This window comes from Homo sapiens, chromosome 16 (assembly GCF_000001405.40).
Source record: "Homo sapiens chromosome 16, GRCh38.p14 Primary Assembly".
Taxonomy (NCBI): Eukaryota; Metazoa; Chordata; class Mammalia; order Primates; family Hominidae; genus Homo; species Homo sapiens.
In genome coordinates this window covers 20,826,046-20,846,895 of record NC_000016.10, presented here as the reverse complement: position 1 = coordinate 20,846,895, position 20,850 = coordinate 20,826,046, and the positions used below count along the sequence as shown (strand labels likewise).

Here is a 20,850-nt window from a genome sequence, read left to right as displayed (position 1 = left end):
TCCCTCATGTTACTAAAAGGACATTGAGACCTACAGTGGGGAAGTAGCTTGGCCACTTGTCAGAGGAGATAGGTGATAAAGCTGCAACTAGACTCAAAGTCCTGCTCCAGTATTCCTCAGGCTTAGAATCAGCAAACCAGGCCCTGTTATCTCTTAAAACATAGGTGTCAATGGGGAAAAGGGTACAGAAGGCAGGAACACATTCCTCACATGTAGAGTGGTTACACCTAAGCCTAGGGCTTGTTCTGAGACTTTACTTTTTTTACTCAAGTGGGGTTAGCAGCTACTTCTTACTCCAGAGAGCAGTAAGGACATAAGACTCCTGGTTTTAACTGGGGATAAATTATCTCCTTGAGGGACCAATAAATGTAGTTATACAAGAGCATATAAATGTGAAATGGGAATACAATGCCTATCTTTTAGAACGGTGAAAATTAAAGAGATGATTCATGTAAGTCCTCACTATGTGCCTAAATATCAGCAAAAGGCTTTTTCTCTAAGAACAGCTGAAATCCAGGGGACAGAGTCCTGAAGGGATACCCTTTCTAGTCCTTACCTCTTGGTTCCTGGCAGCAGGATGAGGCAGAGAGTGCCCGGGCACAAGCTGTTGTAGAGCTTTCCAATCTTCCGGCTCCAGCGCCAGGCTGCTATCTTCGGGTGGTCCAGTTTCAGAGTCTGGGATCAAAGCCATGTGTCGATACTCAGCCAGAACACTCTCTCGTTACCTTTGGAAGGGCTGCAACACTCTTCCTCTGCCTCTAAGGCTATGGGATTCCAGTAAAGGTTCCAGACAAATCCCTTTTCTAACACTGGAGCCCACACTGCAGGTTCTCTGCTGACCCAGCATCCCCAGGCCTCCAAGTTGGCTAAGGACTTCCTCAGGGGAGGACAGCTACTGTCCTTTCCTCCACATGGGTCTTCCAAGACCCCAAGCTAGGGGAGCCACATTGCTGATGAGGGGTCTAGTCTGGCTTCTGCCATTAAGTCTCTTTGTGACCTTGGGCAAGTGACTTACCAACTCTAGCCCCTACTTTTCATCTGTTAAGTATGAGAGATTAGACTAAGACAGGGTTTCCCAAGCTTCAGCCATTTACCTTCTACCTCCACTCTTCTGCTTGTATATCCCTCTAACATTTTTCCATAAAGTGAGTTAATTTCTTCCTTAGCCTTGTCTAACTAATGCCATCCACAAAATCATAGGCTCAATGTAGTTATTGTATACTTTAACAAGTATTAGCAAAACAAGTCCATTCAGATGTCTTAGATATAATAAAAAGACGGACAAGTCCATAATCATAAAAGTGAAAACAAAAAAGAAAAGACCATCTATGACAACCACAATTTATCTTGTGTATATACCACACTTTGGGAAACCCTAGACTAGATCACTGAATAATTGTCCAGCTCTCTGACTTCCTGCCTTTGTCCTTCAAAGTCCCTTGGAGATCTGGAAGACTAAAAAACTAAGTTTAGCAGGTATGGTGGGGGCAAAAGTATGAGAGATCTGCGAGAAAAGATGTGGCCAGGACTGGAGGAAGCTGGAGAGTGAAATAAGACTGAGGGCCAGGGTAGAAAAAAAAAAAAGATTAAAGGATTAAGTGTCACTGAGCAGGACTCTCCTGACATCTTCTCCAAGACGCCTTCACTCACTCACCTGCAAGGCCTCCTGTTCAAAGGGGGGAGGTACAACACGAAGCCCTGGGAGCCTTGTTGATTCAGGTGGTAAGCCTCTGAGCCAGGCATGGAGGTGCCTGGGGGTTAGGGCATGCCTGCCTTTCAGCTTCCAGTCCTTGCCTGTGAGAATGTTGAGGGCCTGCTGGGCACTGCCAAAACTTTTGAATTCTGAAAGCAAGAACCCCCACCTTATGTTATTAAGGGCCAAGAAAGCTGATCACCATCCAAGCTGCCTGGCCAGGGTCAAAGGAGAAGGACAGAATCAGGAACTGCTGCCCTGGTCCAGCCCAGGAGGTGAATCTTCCTTTCTCTGACCTCATGTTATCACCATCCCCAGTTTCCTTCCCCAAAGCTACATTCAGTAGCATAGACTTACTCAGGAAACAGTATTTTTTCTGCTTTCCACTTTTAAGATCTTTAGGCAAGATCACAGCTTCCAGGCCAAGAAAGAGGCGGGGCTCCTGCAATAGCTGTTCTTTGAAGGTTTCACTCACTCCAGACAGATATATAGAGCCTTGGTTTTCAGAATCTCCTTCCAGCTCATTCACGAGGGTGTCACAATCAAGCGTGAGCTCTGTCACAGGCCTCTGCACCTAACCAAGGAAAGTTGGTGTTAGTGGTAGAAAATCAATTTAATCCTCAGGCCTATTGGATACTAGCAAGTTGTTGCCATTACTAATAACTTCATTTTTCAGTTTCCTAAAATTTTCCGTTTCTTTTCTTTTCTGTAAAAGGAAACTAAAGATAATGGCCTCACAGAATTATGTTAGAGACTTAATTGATAAATACATATTTTCATGTAAACATATTCTCTTCAGTTTCCTGCCTCCCACCCTTAATGAAATTCTGTTTATGTGCACAAGAAACTTCAAAATACCACCATTTGATCTCCCTGAAAGGTGAAGAAAAGGGTAACCACAAAGAACCAACCAGAATAAACCACAGGGGACTTAAGTAGTAACAAAGAATGCAAGGAAGACCCAAATCTAGCCCAGGATGATTTCTGACACAAATGAAAGCCGTTATGTCTTCAATCACTGCCAGTAGGAGAATGTTAGACTTGGCTGAAGACTTTCCATAACAAAGTCTTGTGCGTGGGCCTCTTGAGAGTGTTTCCTATATGTCCTGGGGCACTATAAATACAGGCTGTGGTAGGCCAGACCCAAGCAAAGGGGGCTTTCTCTTGTCACCCTACCTTGATGCAGATACCATCTACCAGAATACCATCCAAGGATTCTATGGCCAGCTGGGCAGCTTCTAGGACTTCATACTGTATACAGAGATGAGGCTGCAGAAAGACCAAGATTTCCTCATCATTGCTTTCCAGCTCAAACTGCTAAAGAAGGGGTTGGGGAAAGGATTCAAACTACAGTGGCCAAAGCCACCAGAATGGATGCCTTTACTGTGCTGGGCTACACAAGTATTGATTGTAAACTGTCAACTTTAAATGGGATCATCAAAGTTCAGAAACTAGCTTTCAGACAACAAATAACTTTGTCATTTAAAATGGAACTACCCAACAGGCTTTTCATAATATTTATTATGCATCACTAAAGTCATCACTGCAAGTCACGGGCAGAGATTCCCATTTGTCTTTTGGCTTAACTTTATAAGCTTGGGAAGGATAAGTTCTTCCACTGGATAGGCTACATCTTCAAATGGTCTGCTTTTCTGTTTGTTAACTCGGAGTAACTAAATCTTTGTGATTATCTGAGCCATAGCATCAATATGGAGATAAAAGCCTTCCCATAGAAAAGTTTCATGACACTGGATTTGGCAATGGTTTCTTGAATATGACATCAAAGGCAGGCAACAAAATTAAAAATAGACAAATTAGACTTCATAAAAATTAAAACCTTTTGTATATCAAAGGACACTAACAGCAGTGTCAAAAAGCAACCCACAGAATGGAGAAATAGTTGCAATCACATAGCTAATAAAAGATTAATATCCAGAATGTACAGAGAAATCCTACAATTCAACAATAAAAAAGCCAAACAACCTGATTTAAAAATGGGCAAACACTGCAGAGTAGCTGGAACTGAAAAAAATAAATAAGAAAAAAAGGGCAAACAAGTGAATAGACTTTGCTGTAAAAGATGTACAAATTGCCTGCGACACTCAACATCACTAATCATTAGGGAAACGCAAATCAAACCCAAATGAGATACCATTTCACATCCATTAGGATGGCTACTATTAAATAAAATAGAAAACAAGTGTCAGTGAAGATGTAGATAAGTTGGAACCTTTGTTCTTTGCTGGTAGGAATGTAAAATGGTATAGCCACTGTGGAAAACAGTATAATGGTTCCTCAAAAAATTAAACATAGAATTACTATTTGATCCATCAATTCCACTTCTGGGTATACACCCAGAAGAACTGAAAGCAGGGACTTGAACAGATATGTGTACAACCATGTTCATAGCAGCATTATTCATGATAGTCAAAGGTAGAAACAACCCAGGGTCAGGCACAGTGGCTCACGCCTGTAATCCAAGAACTTTGGGAGGCCAAGGTGGGTGGATCTCTTGAGTCCAGGAGTTCAAGATCAGCCTGGGCAACATAGAGAGACCCTGTCTTACAAAAAATTAGCCAGGCGTGCATGCCTGTGGTCCCAGCAGGAGGCTGAGGTGGGAGGATTGCTCGAGCCCAGGAGGTTGAGGCTGTAGTTAGTTGTGATCACGCCACTGAACTCCAGCCTGGGTGAGCAAGACCCTATCTCAAAAAAAAAAAAAACAAACAAAACAAAGGGTAGAAACAAGAAACAACCCAAATGTCCATCAACAAATGGATAAACAAAATGTGGTATATACATGAAATGGAATATTATTTTGCCTTGAAAATGAAATTCTAATACATGCTACAACATGAATGAACCTTGAAGACATGCTAAATGAAATAAACCAGACACAAAAGGACAAATATTGTATGATTCCACTTATGTGAGGTACGTACACAGAGTAGTCAAATTCATAAAGACAGAAAGTAAAACAATGATTACCAGGGGCTGGGGGGAGGGGTAATAGGAAATTATTGCTTAATAGGAAATTTCAGTTCGGGATGATGAAAAAGTTCTAGAGATGGATGGTGATGATAGCTGCACAATATCAACATACTGAATGCCACTTAAAAATGGTTAAAAAGGTACATTTTATTTTATATGTATTTTACCCGCCACCCCCGCAACCAAAAAAAGGGGCCAAGAGAAAGGAAGATGTTATAGTCCCTTGCTATACACTTCTCATCCCCCAATCCATCTTCTCAGGGACAATCTTTGTATTTTTATTTTTAGTCATAGAAAAGCCATTAATAAAAGATTTGGAAGCTGGGTGCAGTGGCTCATGCCTGTAATCCCAGCACTTTGGGAGGTGGATCACTTGAGGTCAGGAGTTCGCGACCAGCCTGGCCAATATGGTGAAACCCAGTCTCTACTAAAAATACAAAAATTAGCCAGGCGTGGGGGCACATACCTGTCGTCTCAGCTACTTGGGAGGCTGAGGCATGAGAAATCATTTGAACTGGGGAGGCAGAGGCTGTGGTGAGCCAAGATGGCACCACTGCACTGCAGCCTGGGCCTCTGTCTCAAAAATAAAAATAAAATAAAAATTAAATTAAAAAATTTAGAGACAGCCATTTTAAAATATCTAGGATCCTGCACTTAGATCACTTTAGAAGTGTTTTTACTTCACTTTCATACATTGTAATACACCAGTTTAATAGTTACCTAGTTCCGAATTCTAAAGGAACAATATATTTACAGTGAAGTCTTCCCCTAATCCCATTAGCTAGCTGCCTAATTCTTCCCCCTAGAGGCCTCCATTGTTACCTTTATTGTATATCATTCTACAAACATCCTACATTACACTGTTTCCATTTTTCTTTTCATGATTTCTTCCATGTCTCTATATGCTTATGATGTTATTGCTTCACATATAAACTTTATCTATTGATATGGTATTGTTATGACTGTGAAGATGGAGACATAACTTGTGAAGTCCTTTTGAACTACATAAATTTTTAAAACCATATGCAAGTATTATTTTTGTTAAAGTAAAACTAATCTCTTTAAAGGGCTTTTATGTAAATACAAACCTACAATACCAAAAACTTACCCTAAGAGATAAGAGATAACAATAACAACAAAAGCCCTCCCATAATCTTCCTCCTGTATCTTAACCAAGCAAGCCATGAGCCTACTCTGTAATGTAAAAAAAGAAGTAACTTTCTAAGATATGAAAGTTACTTCTCTTTTTGAAAGAGTATTTTATCATTTAAAGCTGAGGTACAATCATAAGGACCACAGGTTATATTCAACCAGCAGACATATTTTTTCGTATGGCCTGGTATTTGAGAAATGGGAGCCAACATATGAAAACTGACAGATTTCTTAATTCTTGTTTTTAAATTGTTTGTAGCAATGTGGTCTCACATTGCTTGAGCCCAGGCTGGTCTTGAACTCCTGGGCTCAAGCAATCCTCCCTCCTCAAACTCCCAAAGTGCTGGGATTACAGGTATAGGCCACTGCGCCCAGCCAGATTTCTCAATTCTTTAAACACACACAACAAAAGATCTCACAATACTGGGTATACATTCTTGTGGGTCAACAACTGCTCTCATTAGAGTATGTCTCACACTCCAGTTGGTAGCAATCAAGCTTACTTTACGAATATTTGCTATCTGCATGGCCCAAGCAGTCACCTGAATGTCTAACACTAATCTAGAAAATGAAATCTGAATTTTCCGGTCTTACCTGACGGGTTTCAAGAACAAAAGTCATTGACTGGACTGGGCCAAAGCTTTTAAACAGCCTCTTCAGAGCCCTGAGATTGCAATTTTTGCTAAATGGCCCAGCATAGACAGTTGATATCTCTGTCCACTTGATCCTCATCTGTAGGAAAAACAACAGAATATAGTATGGGAATGAATATGGAAAGAGAACTGAAATCATGAGTCAATGCATGGGATTATTCACCAAAGATTTTTTTGATATAAATACTTGCCAAATGTCCAAGGATGTTCACTGAAGTATTATTTGTAATAGCAAAAATGTATAAAGCACAAATGTTAATAGGTATATCATATAGCAGAATACTATGTAGCCATTAAAAACAAGGGAAATAAGATATGTAGTGATACAGAAAGATGTATGATATACTGTTAAATGAAAAAATAAAGTTGCAAAACAGTATGCATAGTCTGATTCCCATTTTCATAAAAATATTTTTAAATGTTAATATGCAGATAGTAAAAATCTAGAGAAAAACACAACAAATTAAATAAAGCATGTATTACTTTCCTTAATGATGAGAGGTTATAATAAGTCACTAAATAAATCATTCAGCAGAACCCATTCACTTACCCTTTTGTTCATCTCCTCAGTGAGGACAGGTGAAAAGGCCTTAAAAGAGAACTGAACAATGCTGAAGGGAAACAGGGGGATTTCCACTCTGGCCTGCTCAAGAACCTGTAGAGAACAGCACAGCCTGGATAAGGTAGGAACCTCATACTCTATTGTGGCTCCTGGATATGAGCCACAATAATATAAACAGTAGTTGTCTTTTTACGCATACTGAAAGGTAATATGGGGCTGACTTCCAGGTCTGCAGGAAAATGGTGAAACCACACACCTTCCCCAAAGAACCACAGAATCAATAAAAAGAATAAAAATAAAATACATATGAGCCATACCTTCGGCATTACTAAGAGACAAGGGCTATTACAAAAATTTTCAAATGACCTGTAATTAAATAAATAAGTGTAACTCCCACTATTGTAAACTGCTGCAAGCCTGTGAGTAGGGAAAGCAAGGGAGAGGAGGCTTAATAGATTTGGTTAAAAAAAAAAAAATCAAGGGGCATGGAAGAATTAGATGAAGCATAAAAAAACCCCAAAATAAAAACTCCAATTAAATGTCAAATAAGGAACATGGGTCATGATTTTGACAGTTCTCAGCACTTGACTACAAGCAAGAGGCTTGGCAGCCTCAGAGAAGCCATGCTTCTGGAGAAGAATCAGATATATAGAGAAAAGGTGGTACTCCTTGGAGACACTGCTGTGAAGAATGCCAACTCTTCTGAACAATATTATAAATTCCTCCCTTCCCTCAACACCACACCATCATTCTGGAAATGGAGAACTAGGAAGCTTCACTTCAGCCTCTCACTCTCACAGAAACAATGAGTTAACAACAATATACGGACCAGAACACCTTTGAGAGAACTGTAGAGATTCCATGAGAAACTATATAGCACCTAGACCAGCATGAAACCAAGAAGGGTTTCCAGTAAATGGGAAAGGAAAATTTGTGATGTTTTGTGGTCCCATCTACACCTCTCCCTATCTGACATAATATGGCTTCTTCCACACCACAGATCTTCTCTTGGGATGGAAAAAAAAGAGGGGACCATGTGTCCAATGTTCTGGGTACTGTGGGGGCTGTCTGAGGGACTATTTTCTGTTTTGCGTGACTCGGAAGGCTGACAGGACTGAAGAAGGCCTTGTTTGGAAGCCACTGAAAACAGATGTGATCACCATGGCATGTTAGAGCTGCAGTAAGAAACCAGGGGAAGAAAGAGATTATGGGCTCTGAAAAGAAGTAGGGACAAGGGGCTCAGGGAACAACTAAAGGCACATGCATAACCCCAGAGAAGACAAATCTCCAGAACAGGTTTGGGAGGTCATGAAATCTCTAACTAGGCTGATTGGTGAAGGTCTTCCCCTGCACGAAGCAGTCTGTAAAGACAACAACTGGGTATTTATTCAAATGCCCAAGCCTCAACAATACCAACAACAATAAGTCACAAGGCATACAAAGAAACATAGCCCAAGTTTCACTTCTGCAAAATAAAAAAGTTATAAGATCTCTTTCACAATAATATAAATATACCTAACATTACTGAACTATGTACATAAAAACAGTTAAGATGGTAAATTTTATGTTTTTTACTACAATAAGAAGAGAGGCAGGAGAGGAAAGGGAGAGAGAATCCCTTGATAAGTAGAGGAAAAGCACAAAAAAAGAAGAAAAAACTGCACTGAGGAAGGCAGAATAAAAGAGATGCTCTTGAATGAAAACCTTGTTCAAAAACAAATCAGTAAAATTAGAAAATAGTAGACCATATTAATCTAAACTACTATTAAAAAAACAGCAACAGCTGGGCGCGGTGGCTCATGCTTGTGATCCTGGCACTTTGGGAAGCCAAGGTGGGAAGATATTTTGAGCTCAGGAGTTTTGAGACGAGCCTGGGCAACATAATGAGACCTCATCTGTATAAAAAATTTAAAAATTAGCCAGGCATGGTGGCACATGCCTGTAGTCCCAGCTACTTGGGTGGCTGAGGCAGGAGGATCGCTTGAGCCCGGAGGTCAAGGCTGCAGTGAGCTCTGCTCACGCCACTGCACTCCAGCCTGGGCAATAGAGCAAGACCCTGTCTCAAAAACAAAAACAAAAGCCAAGACATAAAGTGAGAATCGAAGCATTTCAGCTGATGAAAATTATTCCCCCTAAAAAAAAAAATCAACCATGGGGCTAAAGGATACAGTTAACATTACGGTCTAAACTGAATTGAATATTAGCAGCCAAGCATTTGAGGATATGAAAAAGCAACTACAAGTTGTCAAGAAAGAATAGATTCAAGTGAAATTTTAATAAAGGGCATTAATGAAAAGCATGGAAAGAATTAGGAGTATACAAATGAAATCAAAAGGATCAGAGAGAAAGTAGGTGAATGAAAGATAGGCCAGCGGGGAACAACATATATGCATAAGTGAAGTCCATGAGGAAGAAAATTAAAGCAATGGAACCAAATACTTGAAAATACAATCCAAGAAAACCTTCTGGAAATAAAAGAAACTATAACCTAAATATTGAAAGGGGCCTTGGGTACCAATAAAAAGTGACTTGGAATGATCAACTCTGAGACATAGCTTAGTAAAACAATTAGACTTTAAACAAAACGGGAAAAATAAATCCTCAGTAAAAGTAACTTAAAAGGCCAAGAAAATTAGATTGCCATTAAGTTTCTCAAATGCAACTTACAAGGATTTCCATCCCCAGTCAAGACTGAATAACAAAGAGTAGAGTTACCCTCTCTCCTCAAACACCTAAGAAACTATAAAAAATATACGATAAAGAGAATGAGAAGACAAGCCAGACTGGGAGAAAATATTTGCAAAAGACTTATCTGTTAAAGGACTCTTACCCAAATATACAAAGAACTATTAAAACTCACCAATAAGAAAATGAACAATCCAATTTTAAAAATGGGCAAAAGAGTTGAACAGACACTTCACCAAAGAAGAGATACATATAGCAAATAAGCATATGAAAAGATGCTTCACATTACATGTCATTAGGGGACTGCAAATTAAAACAATGAGATACTAATACATATCCATCAGAATAGCCAAAATCCAACAAAACACTGACACCATCAAATGCTGAAAAGAATGTGGAGCAACAGGAACTCTCATTCACTGCTGGTGGGAATGCAAAATCATAGACACTTCAGAAGTTCAGCAGTTTCTTACAAGACTAAACATATTCTTACTATACAATCTAGAAATTGTACTCTTTGGTATTTGCCCAAATGTGTTTGAAACTTATGTACACATGAAAACCTGCACACAGACATTTATAGCAACTTTGTCCATAATTGCCAAAACTTGGAAGCAGCCAAGATGTCTATCAGCAGGTGAATGGATAAATTGTGGTAAATCTAGGTAATGTATAGTTATTCAGTGTTAAAAAGGAAAAAAAACTATAAAGCAGTGAAAAGACATGGAGAAAACTTAAATACATATACTAAGTTAAAGAAGCCAGTCTGAAAAAGCTATATACTATATGATTCCAACTATGTGACTTTCTAAAACAGGCAAAATTATGGAGACAGTAAAAAAAAAATCAGTGGTTTCCAACAGGCAGAGCACATTCATCACAGATTTTTAGGCCAATGAAACTATTCTGTATGATACTATAATGGTAGATATATGTCACTATACATTTGTCAACACCAAGACAGAACCCTAACGTAAACTATGGACTTTGGTAATTATATGTCATAGTGGGTTCATTGATTTTAACAAATGTACTACCCAGGTACAGGTTGTTGATAATGGTGGAAGTTGTTTGTGTGGGTGGGTGTGGGGGTAAATGGGAACTCTCTGTACTTTCTTTTTTTTGAGACAGGGTCTCTGTTGCCAGGCTGGAGTGCAGTAGTGCGATCATACGTCAGTCACTGCAACCTCCACCTCCTGGGCTCAAGCAATCCTCCCATCTCAGCCTCCTGAGCAGCTGGGACCACAGGCATGTGCTACCAGGCCTGGCTAATTTTTTGTAGCGACAGTGTTTCGCCATGTTGCCCAGGTCAGTCTCAAACTCCTGGACTCAAGAGATCCACCTACCTCAGCCTCCCAAAGTCCTGAGATTACAGGTGTAAACTACTGCACCCAGCTTAGACTTTCCATTTAATATTGTTGTGAACCTAAAACTGCTCTAAAAATAAAAGTCTATTAAAATAACAATAATAATGCCCAAAGAGCCCTTGAGGCCCATGTAAGTGCTCAGGAAGAAAAAAAAAATTCCTAAGAACAGCAGTTCTCGGGATATTGGAAAATGAAGGACAGTGATCCTTAAAGATAGGAAACCGATAGATCTATAAATAATCCCCCTCAAATATTCAGTTGAGTAGGGATTAGTGTATCCATGTAAGTAAACTATGCGAGGTCAAGGAAAGGATGCCCAAAAGGATTAGAGGAAACAATCGCAAGGGCTAACACAAGGCCAGGAATGGTTTAGATTCCCAAAAGCTAGAGTGTAAAATCTCATAATTTATGGAGATTAAGTACTTAGTATGGTTTTGCTTCAGTAGTGGGACAAAATTTACTCTGGTTTCACCTAACAAACCTTAAAAGCAAGAATTCAAAAGGATCTGGCCAGGCATAGTGGCTCACCCCTGTAATCCCAGCACTTTGGAATGCTGAAGTGGGCAGATTACTTGAGGCCAGGAGTTTGAGATCAGCCTAGGCAACATAAGAAAGAAAAGAAAAGAAAGATAAGAAAAGAAGGAAGGAAAGAAAGAAAGAAGATCCAAAAGGACCAAAGTGTTTCCAAGTAACTTTACCACATCTCAGACCAAAGCTCACAAATATTTATAGAAATACAAAAATATATAGCACCCAACAAATTAAAATTCACTATGTCTGGCATCCAATACAAAAACTACCAGGCTGCAAAGAAGAATGAATATAGTCCATAATAAGGAGAAAAACCAATCAATTTCAGTTAATCTAAAAATGACACAGATTATCAAATTAATAGAGAAGGATGTTAAAATAGTTATTGTAACTATATTCTGAAATTTAAGAAGCTAGAGGAAAGTCTGAATGTTAACTAGACACATGGAAGATACAAAATAGAACAAAAGTTAACTTCTAGAGGTAAAAAATACAATGTGTGAGGTGAAAGTACACTGGATTGGATTATCAGTAGATTAGATACTGCAGCAGAATTAGAAACCTAAGACATAGCAACGGAAACAATCTAAAATAAAACAGACAGGAAAAAAAACTGGAAAAAACATGAACAGCACATCAGTGAGCTATGGGACAACTTTAAACGGCCTAATACATATGCAATGGGAGTGCCCAAAGGAGGGGAGGGTGGTGAAAGAAAAAATAATGGGGAGAAATAATGGTCAACATTTTTTCTAATTTGATAAAAATGATAAACCCGCAAATTGCAAAAGCTCAACAAGCTCAAGCAAAAGACGCATAAAAAAGAACACTTGGCCGAGCCTGGTGGCTCACACCTGTAATCCCAGGCTGGAGTGTAGTGGTGCGATCATAGTTCACTGCAGCCTCAACCTCCTGCGCTCAAGCGATACTGGCATGTTCTTAAAATATCTCCCCACATATTTATTAGAATTAAGAGAAAAAACAAGAACTCTGCAATAGAGAAAGCAGACAACACCTTGACCAGGTGATCAAAATAAACAGCACAAAAGAGGGGCAGATGAGTAATAACTGCCTCTGGATGCAACACCCCAAGAAATTTGGCTAAGAATGCATAATCTGAATTTAATCATGAGCAAACACCACACAAACCTAAAATAAGCAACTCTGCTAAGAAAGGGAGGGGGGCATGCATTACTCAAAAAGTATTAAGGTTATGAAAGACAAAGAAAGGTTGAGGAACTGTTACAGCTTTAAAGGAGACTAAAAAGATATGACAAGTAATTGTAATACATGACCCTAGAAATGATACTGTTCTAAAGGGAAAAGACATGCTATAAAGACATTATTTGGTCAGCCAAGAAAATTAGAATACAGATGACAAGTAGATAAAGGTACCAGGACAATATTAGATTTACTAAAATTGGTAACTATGTTAAGATGTGGTTATATAAAATAATATTTTTATTCTCATGAAATACACTCTGAAGTGTTTAGGGCCATGATATATGCAGCTTACTCTCAAATGGTTCAGGAAATGCCATACAGAGAGGAAGAAAGAGAGAGTGTGTACATGAGAGAGCATAAGCATGAGGGTACATATAAAATAATAAAGCAACTGGGGCAGAGTGCTAAAAAAGGTGAATCTAGACAGAAAGTATACAGGTGTTCTACCATTCATGCACGCTTTCTGTAAGGTTGAAATTATTTACAAACAAAATGTTAAAAAAAAACAAACACAGATCTTCTGAATATGATAACATAATAAGCTCATGTTTGATGTAGCCTCTCTGACTTAACATACAGCAATGATACATAAAATATAAAAAGAAAAAATCGAAAGGATATAGCCAGGCTCAAAACCAAGATAAACGTTTCCATGAACCAGAAACACAACAGAAACTCAAAGATGTATGCAAGACCAAAGCCAGAGGCCTGCTGGGCTCTGGAAGCAGGCATTGGCAGCTGACAGTTCTGCCCCTATGAGGACTTAGGTACTCCATACAAGATGTGAGACACAAGCCAGGCTTGCTAACTGTAGCCAGGGTTGCTGATGAAAAAAAGCTTGACACTGGCATGGGTGCAAAGGGCTACATTCCCCTCTGCTTTGAATATAACCTGCAAAGGTTCAGCAGGCCACTCACCTCTTTATTTGAAAGACACTTAATAGTTTGACAATTTCTGGAAGATGGAAGTTCACCAGCATCTGTCTCCCGGGTCAAAAAAAGAAGCTTCTGACCCACTGAATCCAAGCATTCTAAAACACTATAAAGAAGTAGAAGAGTTAAGGTAAGAACAACAGTTTTCCAGAACCTGACAGTTATTTCTCTATACTTGCATTATACAATATGGTAGCCACTAGCAATATATAGCTATTAAAATTAAAATTAAATAAAATTAAAAATTCAGTTCCTCAACTGCACTAGTCAAATGTGACTAGCAGCTACCAAACGAGATAGCACAGATGTAGAGCACTTCCATCATCACAGAAAATTGTTTTGGACAGTGTTGCTTCAATAGAGAGAGGAAGGATAAACAAGAAATATACCCAAAGCTCTCTATCAAAAGATTAGGCAAAATTCTAAAGATCTGATACATTTGCTATAGTCTGGAGACAAAGCCCTTTTGAGTCTGTGTGTGTGTCTTTCATAGTCTGGGCAATACAACAAGGCTACAGATTGACTCTTCTAGCCAAAATACCAACTAGTCTATCATCTTTCCCAGTGCTACCTAGGTTCAACGTATTCCAATTATTTTTTCTTTTTTTTTTTTTTGATCAAGGATATCATTTTAGACCAGCCACTAGATTCAGAAAATTAGAAATTAAATACTATATATTAAGGCTAGAAGGTGGTATTTTTTCCGTGGTTTTTGTGATAGATGTTATCATTTTTTGGTAAATAGTTTTTAATAGACTCAAAAGAGGATAAAAACATTCTCAGGTGTTGTTAAATAAGAAACTAGATACTCCATTTGTCTTTGCTCTTGTTTCAAACTGAAAATATTACCTTGTGTTTGGGTGCTGAAGTACTTCTGCTGTGTTTTTAGGCTCTTGGCCTGCTGCTTGTATTTCTTGGTGATTAGCTAGTGCTTCTAGATTTAGTTCTGCAATCTTGAAGAAAACAAAGTGGTAAAAATATAATTGCTTGCAGAGCATTTGATGCTCAAATAAATACAAAACAAAAAGCAACAACAACAAAAAGCAAAAAATCCACTTGAATAATGTTCTCTGTTCTCTTAGGCAGTGGCTTTGCCATTGCCACAGCCCTGGGATGGCTTCAATAGTTACCAGATGGTTTATGGTTGCTTAGCCAAGACCGGCAATCTGTTATCAGCTACTAACATTGTTACATGAATATGGGGAAGGGCCAAGTAGGGCTGATTGAAAAAGGATGTCAATTTTGGCTCATCACTCATCCAACAGTCAGTCACTTAAAATTTACTTCTCTGAGTCACTTAAAATTTACTTCTCTGCAAACATGCAATTTTGGAAATGATAAAAGAATGGCTTTTACAGGAAAATTTTTTAAAAAGACTATTTATTAGTTTAATACAAAATCATGAGAAGTCTATTCTAGTTATTTCTTCTCCTTCCGTAAAGTGGGAGCCCACCAGGGAGTTGTGATGTAGAGAGAATAATTTTTAAAGTTACAAATTTTAAAAATAAACTTTTTTTTTAGAATCAGTTTAGATTTACAGAAAAATTATGAAAATAGTACAGAGTTCCCATATAGCATACCTCCATTTTTACCTATTAGTAATAGATTTGTATGGTGCATTTGTCACAATTAATGAACCAATAGTAATGCATTATTATTAATTAAGCCCATGCTTAATTCAGATTTGGTTAGTTTTTATCCAAGTGAGACACAATTTTCACTGGAAATCAAGCATAATTAAGTGCCCCAAGTGTGGTTTGAGAATCCTGGGGTTTCCAGACATCTTCTCACAAGGGGTGAGGTCCTTCCTTCTCCAACTATGTGACATAACAGACTGAATGTGAAAGCAGATATGAAAAGCCACTTGTTTTCTATTAAGCTAGATATTAAAAGGTTTCACAAAAATACCTAAAACAATGATGTTCTTTCCACTAATTTTTATGGAAAATTCTTTTTTCCATAAAAGTAAGTTATTTGTAGCTGGACAGAGTGGCTGTATATGCTTAAGTTCCAGCTACTCAGGAGGCTGAAGTAGGAGGATCCCTTGAGCCCAGGAGTTCCAGTCCAGCTTAGGCAACACAGTGAGACCCCGTCTCAAAAAAAAAAAAAAAAAAAAAACAGAAAAAGAAAAAAAGTGATTTGTGTTAACATATAATGGCTTTTTATTTATCTTAAACTAATATTAAAAATTTATTTAATTTCTAATATGGTAAATGTTGATAGATATTGTAACCCAGAGTCCCTGGGTCTTCAGGTGCACACTATAAAAGTGTAACCCCTGTTGCACCTTGTTGTTTCAAAAGGGTACAGGAAGACCACCAGCTACAGCAAGATAAAAACCAGCTGGAACCAGAGATGCCTGAAGTTAGAGATGAACTTGGCAAACTCTCTGCATTACCATACTAAAAATCTCACCTAGGGAGGAACTTATTCTCCATTTTCTATACATGTATGTGTCAAGGAACAAACCCTGCCTTTACATGCAATGACTCAGCCGACTAGCAAAATAAAAGCCCTGCTTTTGCCTTCATTTGGGGAGATAGTGCTTTGGGAACTATCCCTGGTGTTCTTACTTGTTGCAAAGTAATAAAATCCCCTTGTTAAATCCTCTTGGGCCAGGCACAGTGACTCATGCCTGTAATCCCAGCACTTTGGGAGGCTGAGATGGGTGGATCACCTGAGGTTAGGAGTTTGAGACCAGCCTGGCCAACATGGTGAAACCCCATCTCTAATAAAAATACAAAAAAAAAAAAAATTAGCAAGGTGTGGTGGCAGGCACCTGTAATCCCAGCTGCTCGGGAAGCTGAGGCAGGAGAATCACTTGAACCGGGGAGGCAGAGGCTGCAGTGAAGAGAGATCGCACCACTGCACTCCAGCCTGGGAAACAGAGTGAGACTCTGTCTCAAAAAAAATAAAAATAAAAATAAATATTCCTTGGTAGTGGTCATTGGGTTAACACCCACTAAGTGACTGAACACACCATTGTGTGGGTAACAATATAAAAAGAGTCATGAGACCAAAAGGGTTTTAGAACCTATTGTAGTGATTTAGAGCAGAGATTAGCAGACACCAATACATATTTTTTTGTAAATAAATAAAGTTTTATTTCAGCTGTGCCCACCAGTGTTGACATAATGTCTATGGCTGCTCTTGCAGTACCACAGCAAGTTGAGTAGCTGCAATAAAGACAATATGATCTGCAAAGCCTACAATATTTACTAGTTGGCCTTTACAGAAAAAGTTTGCTAATCCCTGGTATACAGAAAAGACAGAATGTGACAGACCTGGGTTTCAATTCTGGTTCCACCTCTGACTGACTGTGGGACCTCAGATAAGTTATCTAACCTTTGGTAACCTCGAAAGGCTCATGTATAAAATTGGAATGATAATAGCTAACTCACAGGGCTGTTGTGAGGATTAAATAAGATAATGTATATACAGCATTTTAGAACAGTACACTTAAGACCTCAGTGAGTGGTGGCTATTATTATCTATATGCTCAAAGAAGATCTGTTAGAATGTCTTTCTACCACCTGACACAAAAGACTATTCTGGCTGTTACTTATTATTCTATGTGGAGTACAATTTATTTCATAATGGAGTCATGATGGAATGTACTATGCAATGGGACAATCTAATAGGTTAGAATGCATTATAATAAAGTTTGTCAGAGACTATGTCCTCTTCCATGTCTCCCTTATGTGTTGTTCTAACATTTACCCACTGAACTGCTGTTGAAACAATTGTATGCTCCCCCTACTCCAAGAAAACAAAAATCTATGCAGATTTTTTATAATTATTAGTATTAACTACAATAATCACCACACCACCAGGATAGTGCTTAGTATATTCAAGACACTGTGCTAAGAATTTTATACACAATATCTCATTTACTCTCAACAATATCCCAGAAAAGTGTGTATTCCCATATTATAGATCCAAAAACTGATGTTGTTCAGAGAAATTGCCCTAGATTATACAGCTAGACATAGTAGAACATATATTTTAAAACAGATAAGCCCAACTGCAGGGACTATATACTTAACCACATTATGCTAGTGATATGGGTCTTAATTCGAAATACATGCTAGGCTTCAATCACACTGCCATTTTCTTTTTTTAGGATTCAATCACACTGCCATTTTCTTTTCTTTTTTTTTTTTTTGAGATGAAGTCTTGCTCTGTCACCTAAGCTGGAGTGCAGTGGTGCAATCTCGGCTCACTGCAACCTCTGCCTCCCCGCAACCTCTGCCTCCCTGGTTCAAGCGATTCTCCTGTCTCAGCCTCTGGAGTAGCTGGGACTACAGGCACGCGCCACCACACCTGGCTAATTTTTGTATTTTTAGTAGAGACGGGGTTTCACCATATTGGCCAGGCTGGTCTCGAACTCCTGACCTGGTGATCTGCCCACCCTGGCCTCCCAAAGTGCTGGGATTACAGGCATGAGCCACTGCACCTGGCCCACACTGCCATTTTCATAAAAATAGATAATAGGAGTTGGTAGTCTGTGATAATCTGATCTAGTCCCATGATTTTAAGAAAAGGTGAACACACTGGGCAAAGATACTAACCTTTTTTGGGCCATGCTTAAGGAAATACCGAGCCAATTCAAGGATTGTTCTAGCATCTTCTGTGGCATCATGACCAAGTCTGTCTGGACACTGTATATCCTTCCTGGAAAGTCAATATAAAATTGACATACTGGAAGCACTTTTAATGATAGGCTTTTTCAACCATCTCAAGTGTTCTGATTACATATAAAATGTTAGAATTCTGATAATTAGATTTGCATCACAAAAATCAAGGTTCCTTTATTCCAGCTAATTGCCCAGCCCTGCGAGAGGAACTGGGGGTGCAAAACAATCAGGAATAGCTTTGTTCACAGCAAGCATAGCATCCGGACAAAAGGCTACCCAACAAAAAGTTTCTGGCTGACTCCCTGGCCAGGCCCTTCTCTAAGAAATGGACCAGGCCCATTTCTCAGATCTAACCATTGTTTAAAGTTGCCTTCCTGAAACTTTTTTATTTGTATATAAGTGTCTATACATACTTAAATACTTTCTTAGGTGTTTTTAAAAAGCTTAATATATGTATATATTTATAGATAGAACTAAATCTAATCTATATCATATAAATATTGAGGCATATATAGATCTTGCTCTGCATCCCTTATTCTCAGGAGTGTCTTAGAGAGGTGTTCATATCACAAACAGATTTATCATATTCTTCTGAACAACAAAATATTCAATAATACAGATAACCATAATTTACTCAACCAGACTTCTAGAATATTTGAGGTTTTCTATTTTGCTATTTTAAACCATGTTATAATGAACACCTTTGTACATATGTGTCTTAATACAATAGGACAGTATAAGTATGTTATACTACCTTGTATAGGCATATAGGTATGTTATGTTTTGAAATTTTGGTTACCTCTTCTGCCTTCATGGTTCAGTTCTGTCCATTAAGCCTCGACTGTGAATGTAAACCCCTGTCTCTATTGCTACAATTTCTTCATTTCATAAGAAATGCAAAAAAACATGTTTAAAGCAAAGAGAGCAGAAACCCTGAATTTTGCAATATGCATTAAATTAGATACTACATGCTAACTTGTATGCAGTTTGTCAGAACAATATTACAGCATATAAGCAAACCTACCCCAAAATAACTTTGGCTAAGAACTTGAGCTTAAATCTTCTGCCCTGCTCTCTGACATAAAGCAACGATGTATCAATAACATATGGATGTATCATCTGAGGAAGAAAGAGAATAAAATGAGTAGTGTCTTATGCTAAAGGAAAAAACAAGTGGGCTAGCAGGGTGGGAGAGAAGAGCCCAAGACTTTAGATTTGAGATAAATGGAACAGGCATTTATACTGAAAATGCAAAGTCCTAAATCAGATACTCACTTTCAGTGCTCTGAGATCCAAATCTAAGGAGTGGCCCACTAACACAGCATCAGGAGGAAGCAGTGCTTTTAACTGCCTCTGTACATCTTTGAGTTTGGTCGTCACTGGGTTAAGAATCTTCTTCGTGATTCCCGAAAAGCTTTCATTAAAAAAAGAGAAATGGACAGGCTAGGATATTAACAAGTTTTCCTCTCTGGAAAGTGATTTTAAAAATAACATTTTTTAAAATTACTGTTAATATATATATGCTTAGTGTCCAAAGTGACAAATAAGAATTAAAAATTAGTCATAATCCTATCACCCAGAGATGATTGCTTTTTTACATTTTAGTAAATGTCGTTCCATACTTTTGATATAGATTCAGGTATATATTTAATTTTTATAAAAATGTAATCATAATGCATGAGCTGCTTTACAATGAATCTATCATTTATAATATGTCATAAACACATTTGCACATCAATAAATCTATTTAGCACATCCTTTTAAATGGTTACAGAGTATTCCATTATACAGATACAGCATATTTTAACTAATCCCCTACTTTCAGACATTTATATACTCACATTTTTGCAATACTGTGACAAACATGCTTGTGCATACAACTTTGCCACACGTGACTGTTCTCTAAGAATCTAATTGTCAAGTCTGCTAATAGGACAGTATTTATCACTATCATTGCCTCTCTGTCCCTAAGTCATCACGAATCTACTGGTGCCACGTCAACGGATGGGAACAGTAATGTTTCACTGGCTTCTTGCCTAGTCACTGTGTGTACATTCTGAGATTACATGCTAATCTTTGGAAAAGTAGACTAACATTTTCAGCTTCAAATTTCTGTTATGAAAAATATTTGTTTGTGTTTTGGGGGTCAAGGCAGATTAAGCTCTAACATCACTTGACTGCCAAATGATGACTTGCAGATTTTCAGATGAGGTCTTATCAGAAAGCAAAGCTCTAGCTGTTTGGCAGTTGTAGATAATGATTATAATTGGGAGATTCTGGAACAAGGAAGATAATATTCTGCTGACTTAAGGTCACAAGAAGATTGAAGATCAAGAAGGGCAAGAGCATTATACACTGACATTGTGCAATTTCAGCATTAAAATATACCTATGTGATGCCCTAACCTTTGATAATATTTAAGTAGA

The 20,850-nt window shown here is 38.3% G+C and overlaps 1 protein-coding gene and 1 long non-coding RNA gene across 12 annotated transcripts in view; one reads left to right on the top strand and one right to left on the bottom strand.

Moving 5' to 3' along the window:
• REXO5 (RNA exonuclease 5) overlaps positions 1-20,850 on the bottom strand; it is a 43,241-nt gene that overhangs the window by 2,770 nt on the left and 19,621 nt on the right. For 5 of the 11 annotated variants that reach the window (XM_011545963.3, NM_001199053.2, XM_005255604.3 and 2 more), the window contains exons 9-19: positions 19,700-19,838; positions 19,449-19,543; positions 18,359-18,461; positions 14,637-14,740; positions 13,773-13,893; positions 7,037-7,141; positions 6,428-6,565; positions 2,870-2,962; positions 2,051-2,267; positions 1,655-1,842; positions 557-675 (exon numbers count right to left, since the gene is read on the bottom strand). In XM_011545963.3, coding sequence (XP_011544265.1) covers positions 557-675; positions 1,655-1,842; positions 2,051-2,267; positions 2,870-2,962; positions 6,428-6,565; positions 7,037-7,141; positions 13,773-13,893; positions 14,637-14,740; positions 18,359-18,461; positions 19,449-19,543; positions 19,700-19,838 — 1,422 coding nt within the window. Of the gene's footprint in view, positions 1-556; positions 676-1,654; positions 1,843-2,050; positions 2,268-2,869; positions 2,963-6,427; positions 6,566-7,036; positions 7,142-13,772; positions 13,894-14,636; positions 14,744-18,358; positions 18,462-19,448; positions 19,544-19,699; positions 19,839-20,850 lie in introns of those variants that run through there. The other 6 variants (XM_047434726.1, XM_017023739.3, NM_001144924.2 and 3 more) reach the window with 4 other exon arrangements.
• Positions 7,085-16,317, top strand: LOC105371121 (uncharacterized). The gene is made up of 2 exons (XR_950900.1): positions 7,085-7,169; positions 16,091-16,317. It is a non-coding gene; the product is annotated as an uncharacterized LOC105371121 (long non-coding RNA).